This window comes from Homo sapiens, chromosome 18, assembly GCF_000001405.40.
Source record: "Homo sapiens chromosome 18, GRCh38.p14 Primary Assembly".
NCBI lineage: Eukaryota > Metazoa > Chordata > Mammalia > Primates > Hominidae > Homo > Homo sapiens.
In genome coordinates this window covers 40,006,469-40,022,003 of record NC_000018.10, presented here as the reverse complement: position 1 = coordinate 40,022,003, position 15,535 = coordinate 40,006,469, and the positions used below count along the sequence as shown (strand labels likewise).

General features: G+C 35.7%; 1 annotated feature.

Annotated features, from left to right (window-relative positions):
* Positions 1,636–2,376: an enhancer, noted in NCBI's record as "NANOG hESC enhancer chr18:37599592-37600332 (GRCh37/hg19 assembly coordinates)". NCBI's record gives its function as "activates a minimal SCP1, AML or CMV promoter by ChIP-STARR-seq in primed H9 embryonic stem cells {active_cell/tissue: H9 hESC(primed)}" and the evidence as "EXISTENCE:reporter gene assay evidence [ECO:0000049][PMID:30033119]".

Below are 15,535 nucleotides of genomic sequence, written 5' to 3'. Positions count from 1 at the left end.
ACTAAGGTGTAAGGTATGGGGAAGCATCCTAGAGTCCTCTGACTAGGTGTTAGTCTTTTAGTGAGCCTGTACCCCTGGGCTGTGAACTTTGTGAATGTTTCTCAGCTTTTTTGTTTGTTTGTGTGTTTGTTTGGGTTCTTTTCTTACCCCTAGGTGGGGCTGAATATCTAAAGGGGGTTGGAGTTGGATATTTCCCTTCTCCCAGGTGAGTTAGGCTCTGATAAAACTCCAACAGGTTAAGCTCTGGTAAATAATTTTTCTTGAGAACAGACCTTATTAAGAACAAAATGCTGTGACGTATTTCAAAATGATCACATTTGCCCTTCTGCAGAAAGAACAAGGGGCTTTTTCTCCAATCTTCTCTGTAAGAACTAGTAGAGCTTCCAGAGATAAAACTCACAAAAGTGGGCCTTCCTCACTAAGATTGCCCCCTTTCTTCCCATTTCTGGATCTGGACTTTTAATCTCTCACACTTGTCTACACTGAGCCTGCAGCAATTTGTCAATTACAGTTTAGATTTTTCTATGCTGGTACTGGTTCCTGTGAAGGGCTCTGATTTTGGGTTACTGCTTTCATAAGTTGTGATTCTCTGTGTCTGTCTGTCTCTCCAATTTTGGGGGCAGCAGTTTGCTCTATGACCTCAATTCTCTGATAGATCTAAGAAGGTTGTTGGTTTTAACCTTGTTCGGCGTTTTACTTGTTTTTAGGAAAGAGTGAAAATTTCCAAGCTCTTTACATACTGGACCAGAAACTAGAAGTACAATATTTTCTTTCAATAATCATGGTGGTTTAGTACTACAAATCCTCCAGTATTCCTACATTACTTTGCCTAATATAATAATCATTACCATTATCGGAGCACTATTCCTATACGGGATTAGATTTTGATGGTTAACTCTGTTATAGAACAGAACTGGGGTCTACTTGCCCAGCACAGTAATACCAGATATACACATTGAGGTTTTTGCAGTGACAGAAAGGAAGGCATTAAGTTACAGGGTGCCAACCAAGCAGGACCAGGCAGCTATTGTTTAAACCCTGACCTCTCTGCTGGCCTGCAGGCAAAGGTTTTTAAAGGCAGAGGTAAAATTCAGGAGGGAAAATTGTAAATCAACACACAGCTGTTACACATTGGTTTTGGCATAAGGACTGGATATCTTGAAGCAGGGACTTACAGGTTGTTGGTAGATTCAAAGATGTTCTGATCTGCAATTGGTTAAGGAAGAGAAGCTTTTCTTAAAAATGTGAATTCAGCAGAAAAAAAAAAATTTGCCTGGCTCTGGGGTGTGGTTCCCTCCAAGCCCCACAGGAAGAAATTTAGAACACAGAACAATGGTCAGAGTTCAGTCTTCAATTCCTCCTTATCTGAGGTCTGTGTAACAGCATATCTGGATATATTTGGTGGGGGTCCTTCGCGGGGAAATCCAGTTTTGGAAAGATAACTCAGAGACATATGTTAAGCTATTATCTTTAGTTTCAATAGGAAAACCAAACATCTCTGTACCTTACTCCTTGGCTATTGTTTTAGGCTATTACTTTCTTGCATCACAAGTTATTTATTTACTTCTCAGGGCTAGTTTCCCTTGAAGAAACTCAAAATTTTATTTTATTTCCATGCCTGGGAAAGTCGGGGGCATGCAGACCCCAAAAAGGGACTCTCTGCTCCATCTCATGAGGGTGTGTGGATTTTTATACGTGAGCCCAGCTATGGGAAACTTAAATGCCTACTGGATCAAGGCAGGTAATGAGCTAAACTGGCCAAGGCAGATCTGGGAGAATCCTGACACTCATGTTCTTGTCTAAAGATGGCAGTGCTACTCAGTCCCAGAAGCTGTTGCTATGAAGAAAGGCAGGCCAACTCCTGCTAGATTGTCAGGCTTTTCAACAAAAGCTACAGCTATAGATATGTTTTTTTATGTTAAATTTCTAAATTAGCTAATGGTGTCAGCTACTTCAAAGACATTTTAATTGATCAAAACAAAACATGCCTGCAGGCTATAGTCATTCAGTGGGCTCCCTGTTGTGGAGCTTCTGCCTTATAGCAAAAAATGTAGGTGCTTTACCCAGTTTTGCAGTTACCTATGCTATGGGAGTAAATACTCTTTAGAGACTAATATATTACTCCATGTTGAAAATAGTTAAATCAGTCATCCTTTACTCTTAAGCACAGTACTTAAGAACAAGTCATGTTTATCTGTTCACCAACTCACACTGACAAAGAACCATGCCATTAGATCATTGCGCACTAACCAGTTGCTCCTTCTGTGTAGATCTGCAAATACTTACTGGAAAGGTCTTACGAGGCAATAACTGTGCTACGTTCAACTGATTTAAGATGAGAAATAAAATACAGTCTTTTATTAAATACTTTACTTATATCCATATAGTGATATGCTATACAGCTGTAAAAAATAATGAGAACATGCTCTATAACTTGATATGGAACAATCCCAAGATAAAATATCAAATAAAAAATAAAGTGCAGGACAGTATACTGAAATTTGCCTTAAAAGGGGATATATATGTGTCTCTCTGTTTGTGTGTGTCTGTATGTTTGTGTGCTTATGGACATAAAATTTCTATTAAAGAACACATGGTAATTGATAAAACTAGTTTCTCTAGGAGGAGAATTAGGAGGAAAACAGACAGCATAGAAGGAAAATTTTTACTCCCAGGTTAAGTTTACTATATGCCAATTATGCTAATAAAATGGCAAACATAAAATATCCTTTAAGAAAATATCTATCAGTGGGTTCTTATAGCCATTGACTAAGTTAGATTTCATGGAGGCAGACACAGAAAGATATATTGGCATCACTTCCACCCTCCACCACCCAAACAAACTCATACATTTTTAAAAGTTAATAAATAAGTAGAAAATTAACACTATGCAAATATATTTCAGAAGCAAAGCTCTCCATGGCCCAGGCAGATTTTGTTTGCAAGAAACCAGCATTGTAAACTGTGAAACAAATCCCAAATTGAATTTTCTTGGTCCCCAAAACATATTCTGGCTGCCCTGCTGATGAGAGACCCGGGGAGCCACAGCAGAAATCTCTTAGTTATTCATAAATTCTCTCTCTTAAAAAAAGTTGTTGTTGTTGTTGTTTTAAACACAAGAGTGGAGATGAACTCCAGAGCTCAGAAACCATTTTCATGCAAAAACAGGCGGCTCAGTATACAAATAAAGACCTAGCTGGAAACCCTGAACAGAGCAACATAAATACTCACATCTGGTATAAATAAATAACAAGATACATTGTTTTACGATTAATGCCCAGCTCATGAATAAGTACACACAATGGAGATAGAAATATTTAATTTTGGGTTGTAGAACATAATTAGAAATTATTAAACAAAGTCAGAACACAGAAGAGACTTCTCAAAATGCACAGGCGCCGGGTACAGCCTGGGTGTGTTTGGAACCAGTTTTGTCCAATATCAGTTTGTTTCGTTTTTTAAAGACAAACAAGAAAAGCTGCAACCTTAGTGTTTCATTAAATAGTTCATGAGAGTCATTCACTCTCCCTTTTTTCCCACTTCCTTCTGGGAGTTTAATGCACTGTGATAAGATAAATATCTGCCTTTTAATGATGATCACACCCTATTAAAACGTCTCACCCTGTTACCGATAATGCATGAGATTATGAAAGACGGAAAAAAGTAAAAGTCTCATTTTCTCCTCCCTGCTGATGCCATTTGTTTACCTTTAGCATTACCCTAGCTTACACAATGAAAAAACAGCAGCTAATTTTACTACATTTCTGTTTATTCTACTTTGATTTCTCCCACAGATGAAATCCCTGCCAGTTTTATTATTTTCTTCTTAGATCAAGAGTCCTAATTTTGTTTCATTAAACTTAACTGGACTTATCATTACCGCTTGCTTTAATCAAATAGGATAGAATTAGGTAGAACGAGGACAAATTGCCAGGGTTCATTAAGATAGCAATGCCCAATCTGGAAGTGTGGAGAGGGCCTGCAGATCAAACCCACCATAGCTCCTAGACACATATAATTGCATGTGGCCACCATTATGCATGGACACCACGGTTCAAAGAATCAGGGGAGTGATTTTCTTCTGATTTTAATGTTTCAAGACTGTTCTGAATCAGAAGAGTGGGAAATTTATGCAGACTTTGTTTTTAAGTTTTAGGAGTAAATAAGTCAAGAACAAAGGCCAAAGAAGAACAAGTACAAAGAGTGTTATGATGCGATAAAACAGGACCCAAACGGTGTGATTCTTGGCTTTGTGTGGCATGTTACAGAAAGCAAAGGAAGGGCTTTTGTCCTCAGAGAGTATTGTCCTTTGCTCTGACTTTCTGTCTGAGTAACCTTTCTAGCTGATTTATCTCCTTCTTAGAGACCAAAATGGTAAAAATACTGAATCTCTTCTTTCTGGCCTTTTCCTCCATTCCCCTGCCAGCAACTTATTTGTTTTGAAAATTAGCCATTTAACAGGGCATTGCCTTTACCAGCTATTTGTTCTGCTGACCTATGGTGGAAGCTGGAATTGGTACTGCAAATGTGCTTCTCTAACAGGTCTGTTATTGCATTATTCCTTTATGGGGGCTTCGACGTAATTATACTAAATGTTGTTATAAACCCCACCGGAAGCCACCTCTCCGCTGACGTCTAGAGGACACTTTCAGTGTATATCTCCCTCATCTGCCATTAGCACGCCTCCATGTTCTTCCTAGTATATTAGAGAGCACAGTGAACAGAAACAAGGACTACATGATCCAAACGGAGAGTTGAATGATTTGACAAGAAGCCAACCAGCACTTAGAGGAAAACTAACTACCATCAAAACACTTCCTTCACAACAAAGGTTGAATCATAACCTTATTCCCCTAGCATATGAATTAGAAGAACAATTGTCTGATTATGATTAAAAAAAGAGCATTACATTTTATGTTCCACCATAATTGGTATTTATGACAATTTATGTAAACAGTAATGAAGCCTATGTGATTTTTGCGGGGAAATTGCATTATGACACCAATGATCGTTACTGTTAATTTTCCTGAAGATGATGGCAATCAGCAGGCATAGTTTCATTGTAAATAGGTTAATTTAAAATTCAAACACTGCTGCTATTTCAAAATGAGTTCACATTTGATTTCTGAAAGCTTTGGCCCAGTCTTTTTCCATGTCAAGATAAAAATGCATAGATGACGTGTATCAATGTATAAAACCTTGTTCTTCAGGGTTATCTGGGAATAAGCATGTATGTGATATATGTGCAAATGTGTGTCTTACATACTACATATCCTTTTAATTTTTTCTCTGTTTTTGTGCTATAGAAACAAGTTTCAAAAACATATTACTAATATAATCACAAAATATACTTATCACAAACTAATTTGCTATGTATTAAATAGTATAAGTGAAGAGTGACATGTCAGCATTTTCTATTATTTCTATTGTGTACTGAAAATTGCCAAATCAAACTTTTAGCAAACAATTAAAACATAAAATGATCTTTCTTTATTGACCTTGGGCTTCTAGCTAGTTTTGAGTTAAATTGTTGTTCGACCAGTACATAGTTTGGACAAGCCAGTTAATTTTTTTTTTATTTTAAGATATATGCTTCTTACAGTGTAGATCAATTTCTGCCAATTTGTCCAAGCAAAGTGAAAGGGTCTAATTTTCACCTTTGGACATTTGAAGAAAAGGGAAATTAACATTCTTGAATACAGACACACATGTGTGTGTGAATATATATATATATGTATATATATATATATACATATATATATGCATGTGTGGATATATTTAAACAATGAATGTCATAACAATAAGATATTTGGAATTATAAGGAAAAAGAAGAAAAATTTTAAATGCTGACCAGTGTCTACTTACTTTAAGTAATATTTGAGTAATTATAACATATTTTCACATTTTTGTAACTATAATATATGAAAGTTGTACTAATATGTGCTATTAATTCTTCTTAAAAGTAAAATAGTATAGACTATGACTGTGAATCATTGCGATAAATTTTATTGACAACAGAAATTAACCATGCCTATAAATAGCTCTCTTTCTTTCTCACTCTCTTTCTGTCTTTTTCTCTTTGAAATCAGTTTTTCGGTGGCCAATCAACTGCTCAGAGTATGTTATTCTAATGAGAAAAAAATGTAAGTATAATTGTTCAAAATGTATCATAATTTTGACTATACTATTTCTACTAGTTTGATCCTGAAAATTTTATTATTTTTGAAGAACTTGTGTGACTATGCCTATCTGTATATGTGGTACTTTTAATTAAAATACCATTTTCAAAAAGACATGCCCAGATTGTTTTACCCTGGACCACTCATTTGAAGAAATAGGGATTAGAAAACAAGTGTTAGGTATCTAAACACCTGGAAAGCTGGAATAAATCTAATATGATTTCTAATACGAATATTATGAAATAGTATGAAATCTAATACACTTTCAAAAACTTGGATGTGTATACCCTGAAATCGTATTGCTTTGTATTGATTATAATTTTTAAAAATCAATAATTCTATGTGAAAGTATATTTACTTGTGGGAAATATCCATATACCTATATATGAAGTAATACACTATATAATCTCAAGTAGGTACTTCTATTTCCCCCAAGAGAGGGAATTACAAGATGTTGAAGAGGTTGTTCAAGTGCTTTCTACATTTTTCTTGCAATATTCATTTGTAACTTATTTTTTTATTCAAATAACTATTGTTAGTGGACTAGTTCTAGCCAGCTGTAATGCTTTAAGGGGGAAATATGGAAGAAAATCTTAAAATTAAGAAAATCATGTATATTTATTAAATGTTCTGAGAATTAGCAGAAGGCTCCGTTTAATTGCCTCCTTTAGCACGTATTTCTTCCATAGGAGTTTACATTAGAATTACTGCTCTGAAATATAATCAGGGTGATATAGGTTTGCTACTTAATACTTTTTTTTTCTTTTTTACTATTTTTAATCGGCAATTCTCTGCTATGAGTCTAAGTTTCTGTTTGGTTCCTGGGTAATCACATTTATTGTTTTTCCATTTCCCTACACACAGAATAATTCCTAAATCCAGACAGATTCCTTAGTCAGAGACAATGAATTGCTTAACACGAACCCTTTCTCATACTTTAAAAACAGAATCAATACAAGGAAACAAACTAAAACTTATATTCCGTTACTGAGAATTCAGTAGTGTTGAGTCTGTATTTTCATATGAAAAATGAGAGTCTCAATTATTTCTCTAGTTGCCTCTTCACAGGAACGTTTTACTATACAATCTCAGGATTCTTGGACTTTTCAAACCTTTAATAATGCCACATTCTGTATGGGTCAGATATTAATAAAACCTAATTATGCAACTAAGTTTGATTTAGTTAATGTAGTAAAACAATTGGCTAGTTACTAGTCAAAGAAAAGAAACGCAACCAAATTAATTCATTAAGTAAATACAATTTAACTTGAGGGTAGGGATATTTACCTCAATCATAAGAACAAATAAAAAGAAAAGAAAAGAGAAAGAAAAAAAAATCCCCTAAAGCAAAATGTCAAACTAATGTTAATGATGATTGTGTCAATTGACAGATCTTCTTTGTGCATTCCTGTGACTCATAAGTTGTTTTGGTTATAGTATATCATAAATGAGTTCTGAATCTTAGGTTTGATATCAGTGTGGGTTATTGTAATTAATTGTGTAGGCAATATATTTAGTTTTCACCAAAATGTATTTCTAAGCTTAAATACAACTTGTGCTCATAAAAATGGCCTCTAAACTAATCTGAAATCTCAGAAATGGCTATTGGTCGGCAAAAAAAGAAGTTGTGGCTCCATCAACCCATAGTCAATTAAAAAACAAAGCAAAGCAAAATAAAAAATGGGAAAAAAAACCCCACTATCTCACTAGTTGTACTATATGATGAGATTGCTTGTTCAAGATAACACTTCCCATGCTCTTTAGAACCTGTGGGTATTTAACCAACATACAACAGGTGTAGAAATGGATTTGCGACCTGCATATTCTAAATCCATAGGGTCCTTCCTTACATTATAGATTGGGCACTGTAGCATAATTGGTAGAATCAAAGAAGTATCTATAATGATTTCATTCATGCATGCATCTTCTCATGATCTGCCAATAATTTGAATTCAAAAATGTTACCTGAATATGATGGATGAATTACACAGGTGTTAAAGGTTTTGGCTTATGAGGGGCCTTTTAACATCCTTTATTTTGTTGGAAGAGGATAACATGACAGCAGTTTCCCGTGTCTTCACCTTCTTGAAAGGGAGTACATAAATGCATTGATCATAGCATGTGGACAGTGTTACCAACATTTTCCACTGATCCACAGAACATGTCCACACTATAGCTGATCAGCTGGTGTTTCATACTCCTAATTGTATTGGGGTGGGAGCTTACTAGCAATTATGCAAACCTTATGCTCTCTGTCCTATTGGGGGAAAATGATTGACAAAGTAACTTACCTCAAGAGTTTCTGATCTGAGGATAGTCAGAGAGAGTCTAATTTCATTTGTTGGTATCTGTCTTTCATCACTCATGGCTGATGAGAAAGAAAGAAAATCACAGTCAAAGAACATTCTTTTATTTCCAAGAGGAAAAGGAATTTGACCACAAAGATGACAGAGTTACAATTCTTTACTTTTAAGGGGCAACCTTTGGAGGATGACTCTCATTCTAAAAATGCAGGCATTGCTTTTTTCTTTTGTACCCTATTAAGAATTGTGCATGAGACCACTCAGAGTAGATGGGGACTCTGGGTCAACAGAACAGTGAGAAAGGTGACAAATGGCAATTCATTTCAGTGTTTGTTTTCTTGATGATGGCTGCCTCTTTTTCCTGGTGTTCTCATGTTTCTGGGGTGCTACACAATGAGTTCTATGTCCTTTTAAATGGGGGCAGAGCTGCCACAGTGTAAACTAATAAATAGCACAATTGAAGCCTTCTTGGTCATGAAATACAGCTGATTCCTCTCAGTTACTTTATTCATCCTCTCAATTCTCTTTTTTGAGGGAAAAAAGTTATTTTTTGACTTTATTCTGACATATGTGGATTAATTTTTTTAAACTAGTGCTGCTTTCCTGTACCTTTAATGTGGTACAAATTTAGACGAAACGTCTATTATGCTTGCTAAATTAGATTAAAACCTCTTATCCTAAGAAAATTTCTACAGTTTTTTATTTGGTAATTGGGCTATTTATGATGTATTAACTTTATGTTTTACTTTTATTAGAAAAAGAGTTTGGCAAATGAGTGAGAAAGAAATAGAGAATTTTCAAACTGAGCTTATTCTAGAGATGTGAATAGAATCAAACCAATCAGGATGCCACATCTACCTAAAAGATAAAAAAAATTCTACCGAATCAATACACTAATTTCAGTTGTCTTATAATTAATATCTATCAATCTATTCAAATAGATATTCAGTGGTCTATATTGATCTCTAAGACTTCCTGAAAACCACTAGGGAAAAACAACAGCATGCCAATATGTGTTAATTGCACTCATATTGACATTTTGTAAGTGCCAGAATTTCTATGATAGTGAGAAGTCAAATATTAGAATGCCAAATCCCAGAAAAGTGATATTATAATATTGATTTAATCAGATAACATTTTCTCCAAAAATTCGAATCATCTTTTCCTTTAATCAAAGTCTCATATATTTTCTATCTTATCAGCCCTAATATAACACCTGCTGATTTTAGGGACCAATGTAGTTCTCACATATTTTGGCTTAAAACCTCTTCCACTGTTTACATTACATTTTTTTAACCTAGCTTATTTTATATACTATCATTGCAATCACGTGGTGCTCTCTCTTTCCATAATACCTTAGATTGGGTAATAGTTAAAAAGATTTGACACTCTCATAGGAGGATGAGTACATTTTCATTGATGTCGAGCTAAATTTTGTGATCTCTTTCAGTCAGTGAAATGGAAACTGAAGAGGCCTGTAGCACTTCTTAGTGGAAGCATAGTAAGATTAAAAAATAAAAATAAGAGGCCAGGCACAGTGGCTCACCCCTGTAATCCCAGCACTTTGGGAGGCCAAGGGGGGGGGGTGGATCACGAGGTCAGGAAATCGAGCCCATGCTGGCTAACACGATGAAACTCCATCTCTACTAAAAATACAAAAAATTAGCCGGGTGTGGTGGCGGGCGCCTGTAGTCCCAGCTACTTGGGAGGCTGAGGCAGGAGAATGTCCTGAACCCCGGGAGGCGGAGCTTGCAGTGAGCCGAGATCGCGCCACTGCACTCCAACCTGGGCGACAGAGCAAGACTCTGTCTCAAAATAAATAAATAAATAAATAATAAAAAAATAAAAATAAGAAAAATACCACAACATCTGCTTTGCATTGTACTCATTTTTTCCCTCAGTTGTGAACCTAGCAATGTCATACACAGAGATAGCTTTGCCAAATGAGTGAAGACCTTTTGAAACTCAGCCACCTCTGACCCACAGTGAGCATGTAAACAGAGCAAGAACTAAACTTTTGTTATTGTAGATTTCTGAGCATTTAGGAGCTGTTGACTATAGAGGCATAACTTAGCCCATGCTTACTGCTACATAAATTGATACCAGGAAAGGAATGTTCCTGTGTTGCAACACAGCCTAAAAAATATGGCATTGCTTTCAAGACAGAGTAATACAGGCATGGAAATGGAAACAATTACTGAAGACGTAGTTAGGAAACAGTAAAAGTTTTGATAGAATTCTCCCCTGCAACAACTTGGACAACAAGGTATGTACCAAATGGACTTGGATTTGAACTAAGTTAACTCTGGAAACTGGAATTTTATAAGCATGCTTTGGTTGCAATGGGCTATATTTGACAAATGACTAAAATATAGAGGTGATTTAACAAACACACAAACACATAAACAAAAATGATTGTGGGCTGGGCACTGTGGCTTATGCCTGTAATTCCAGTAATTAGAGAGGGCAAGGTGGGAGGACTGCTTGAACCCAGGAGTTGAAGACTAGCCTGGGTAACAAAGTAAGACCCTCATCTTTACAAAAATGAATAAATAAATAAATAATTAACTGAGTTCGGCAGCATATCCCTGTAGTCTCAGCTACTTGGGAGGCTGAGGCAGAAGGATAGCTTGAGCCTAGGAGTTTGAGGCTGCAGTGCACTAGAATCATGCCACTGGACTCCAGCCTGAGAAACAGAATCAGATTCCATCTAAAAAAACATGGCTGTGTGCAAATTGTAGAAAGGAGAGAAAAAATGACTGGAAAACATCCAGACTTCAGGATATTGTAATATTGAAAGCTGCTGCAGTGTGTCACCAAAACAAGAACAAGCTAAACAGGCCTTTGGAAAACAAAAGTACACACAATTAAGTGCAGAGAGAGAAAGGGATATCTCAAAAATAATGGTAGGAGTGATGTTGGTAAATAGAATTGTCTAGAATCAAAAAGTTAAGAAACAAAACAAGTTTTTGAAAAGAGTCACTACTGAGAGACACCCTGAATACTTGAGGTTGAGAATGACCATGGGGCTCTCTGACTTTTTAAATGTAAGCCTCAAGGTAAGAGAGATTCTCAACCAACAATAACAAAACAGAATGAGTTTTTATAAAGAGCCATCACTTAAAGGCATCCTAAATATTTGAGGTTGAAAATGACCCTTGGGCTCCTGACTTTTTAAATGCAAGCTGCAAGGTAAGAGTGGTTCTCAACCAACACTAAGACATATCCCCAAAGAACTGTGGATTGAGCAGCTGTTTATCAGAGAGTAATATCAGCTGTTTAAGGATACTCCCAAAGCCCAGGGTAGAGTTTCCTCATAACTCTGCCCAGCATTACTATAGACCAGTGATAACAATGTGTTTTCCACTCCTCACTTTCCAAATGAGAATGTGTATTGCAGTTATCATGTCCTCTTCTCAACAATGCATTTGCTATCTGAAGAGACTGGATAATCTCACTTTGGAGACATAAATCTCTGGAGTCAAAAGATCCACATCTGAGTTTGATGTAGAAATCATCATAAGATCCTGGATTTGAACCTGTTGCTATGATTGGATAAAACTGTTGTGTTTTTTTTTCCCCCTTCAAGTTGGGTAAGTAAAGAGCTTTTATTGAAAGAGACGATTGGTTTTAAACACATGTTCTGCTATGCACTGTGGATGTGTGTATATATACATCTCTGCATGTTGGCATGAAGTTGTTCCATTTGACTTATGGTGTTCCACCCTGTGACATTATATTTACCCTTATCTTTCTGCTTGATATCAGATTCAACAATGTTATATGTTTTGGCAAACGACATGAGAATAGAAGTGAAGTGTTTTAAGAGCACATTTCACCACAGTGTCTTTTTACTTCTGTTACAAGCCTGGACATAGCTTCAATGGAAAGCAGCTCCATTAGATTGGATATTAGAGTATCTAGTACCTGTTATTGTAAGCTACTGATTTATATACATCACCCTTTAAAAACCTTAGCTGTGAATGTATAAAATTATTGTCTTTATCCTTTCGATATTCCAATTTGTTGGCCTGTACTTGAGAAAGTAGACAACTATACAATTTGTCATCAATATAAAATTCATAAACACCAACCTAAACCCTGTGATCAACACTTTGGAGAAATCCTACTGTGGAATTCAAGTATGCTTGTTCTCTCACCATAACAACTGCTGCTTTGTGTATTATTTTTTCATAGCTTTATTGAGGTATAATTGACATACACTAAACTATACATGGTTAGCAAATACCATTTGGTAAGTTTTGAACATATTATACATATTTCAAACCATCACCACAACCAAAACAATTAACACATTCAGCACCCTCAAACATTTTCTTGTGATAATTTGTAATTATTTCATTCTGCTCCTCCACTCTAAGAGAGTCACTGATTTGCATTTTTTCAGTTTAGATTAGTTTGCATTCTCTAGAATTTTATGGAATTTGCTTTAAGCAATATATATTATTTCTTGTCTGGTTTCTTTCACTTACAATTATTTTCAGATTGAATTCTGTCATAGTGTATATCAACAGTTAATTCTTTTTGTTACTGAATAGTATCCCATTGTACAGATATATTACAATTTATTTACCCATTCATCTGTTGGTAGACATTTGTTATTCTTATGCTATGAGTAAACATTTTGTTGTCTTTGACCAAGGATTCTTGTGTCTTCTGCTAGCATTCATGGAACTAGAAGAGACTAACATGTTAGCTTCCAAGTAAGGTAAAACTTCAGACCCTTCACAATGTTGACAGTACATATGCTCAATATTTGCCTGTAATATATTTCTCATATCTGATTAATTTCTTTGTTTTCTCATCCCCATAACTCTGTCTCTCAGTTTAATGGTAGCTTGCATCATCTGAAATAAAACACTTATTATGAAAATAAGACTTTTAACTCGATCTTTGATTCATAGTGAATAATTTATTTCAACTGAAAAGTTTTAATAGTCTAGGTTTACTTTCAGTCTTTCTTCTTTCTCTTTGGGGTCCAGAAGTAGTGGCTTTTCCCTTTAAGGACTGTAATCTCTGTATTTTCAGTATTTTTTTCCAATTCTGTTTGAAAAATCAATACATTTTTGCCTTAACTCATCTTTCTTATAACAACTTGCTAAAGGCAGCCAACAATAGCCATGCCACACTTGTTCTCTGAGCGCTCTTTTTAACCACTTGTCCTAGGGTTGCAGATTCAATAGCTCTATCAAACACTGTGCAGAGGCACAGGAAGGAATTGTTTAAATTCTTTGTTTAATTAATTTAATTAATTGTTAAATAGAATTGTCTTTGCAACAACTTGGAAGGAAGACGCATTTTGTCTGCCACTGCACAGCATGGGTCTCCATCTTTCTAGCCTATGATACGTATCTTTTCACAGCCCACTACTCGACTGCTCAACAGCTGAGCCGTTGTCACCCTTTTTATCATCCTTATTCTTAAAGCCCCTCACTTTAAGAAATAAACATCTATATTTGCTAGGTAATAATAACTTTGAATCAAGCTAACTAAAAAATGTAGAGTAACACTTAATTTCTCCAGAATGTGAAGTATAAAGTAGATGTTCCTATCCACAGATGGTTTTTCTCCAGGCAATGATTCAAGGACCCAGGCTTGTTCCGTTTTGAAACCCTATTATTGATAACACATGCTATTCAAACTCACTATTCTCATCCGTACTAAGATGTTAAATATTGGAAGCTTGTCAAAAATCACCATGGTGATTACAGAGGCTGGGGATAAGGGAAATGGGGTAATAGGGAAAATGATTATCAAAGGGTACAAAATCTCACCTAAGAGGAATGGATGGATAGATAGATAGATAGATAGATAGACAGACAGACAGATAGATAGATAATTTGAGTTATTTTCTACAGCATGGTGAATATAGTTAATAATTGAGTATTGCATATTTCAAAATTTAAAAATTGAGAGAATAAACTTCAAGTATTATGACCACAAAAAAAGTTAAATATTTGAGGGTATAGGTAAGTTAACTAACTTGTTTTAAGTAATCCACATTGTATTAATAAATTATAACATCACTTTGTATCCCATAAATTTATACAATTGTAATGTGTTAATTTATAATTTAAAAAGTCGTAATCATGCATGGAAGACTGTACTGAATAAGGCCTGGAAGTTTCATACATTGCTTTCTGTTATGTTTTGCTAGCCACCTAACTGCAAGGGAATATGGAAAACACAGTCTAGCTGTTGGCCCAGGAAGAATAGATAATTACTTGGCCAACAGTTTTTCAGTCTCTGCAATAGTATACATGTATATCTCCATCACTAGAAAATAAGCTCCATGAAGGAAAATTTTGTGTATACTTGTTTAGTAATTATACTAAGTGTTTAGTATTCAATAAAATATTTGTTAGATAAATGAGTGAAAGTGAAGCAGCATCATTGTCTGGGGTAATGCCCAAGGTTCGTTGCCTCATGCCAAGGAAATCAAGGACACAGACACACACAAGGAGTGGGTTTAGGAGTGGAGGTTTAATAGGCAAAAAAAAGAGAAAGAAGACTAGCTCCCTCTCCTGAGAGAGAGGGGTGTTGGAGTGGGACTTCTGGCCAGCTGCGGAGTGCACCAAATTTTATGGACAGGCTTGAGGAGGCGGTGTCTAATTTACATAGGGCCCACAGATTGGTTGGACCAGGAGTGAGATTTAAATAGCCCACAAAGAAGCTGGCAACCCCACCCTAATTTCTTATTATGCAAATGAGCTTTCAACTTGGCCAGTGTCATGTTGTCTGTTCCTGACTGCACACGTGGTTAGAAAGGAAAAGGGAAGATGGAACCATGATTTTGAACAAGCCTAGTAGCCTTTTCCTATTGGCACAACTGCTGGCATTCACCCGTGCAAGCTTCCAGCTTGCTTGTCTATGTTTGCAGCTCGATTTTACAGGCTGCTCTTTGTTAGAAAAGAAAATGATTTTGAAGCTGCTTCTTAATAAAAAGAAAACCTTACTGAGAACTTCGTTACCCTCATTATCTGCCTAAATAATTTCTTTTTAACTCCTATATCAAAAGAATTAAGGAGATTT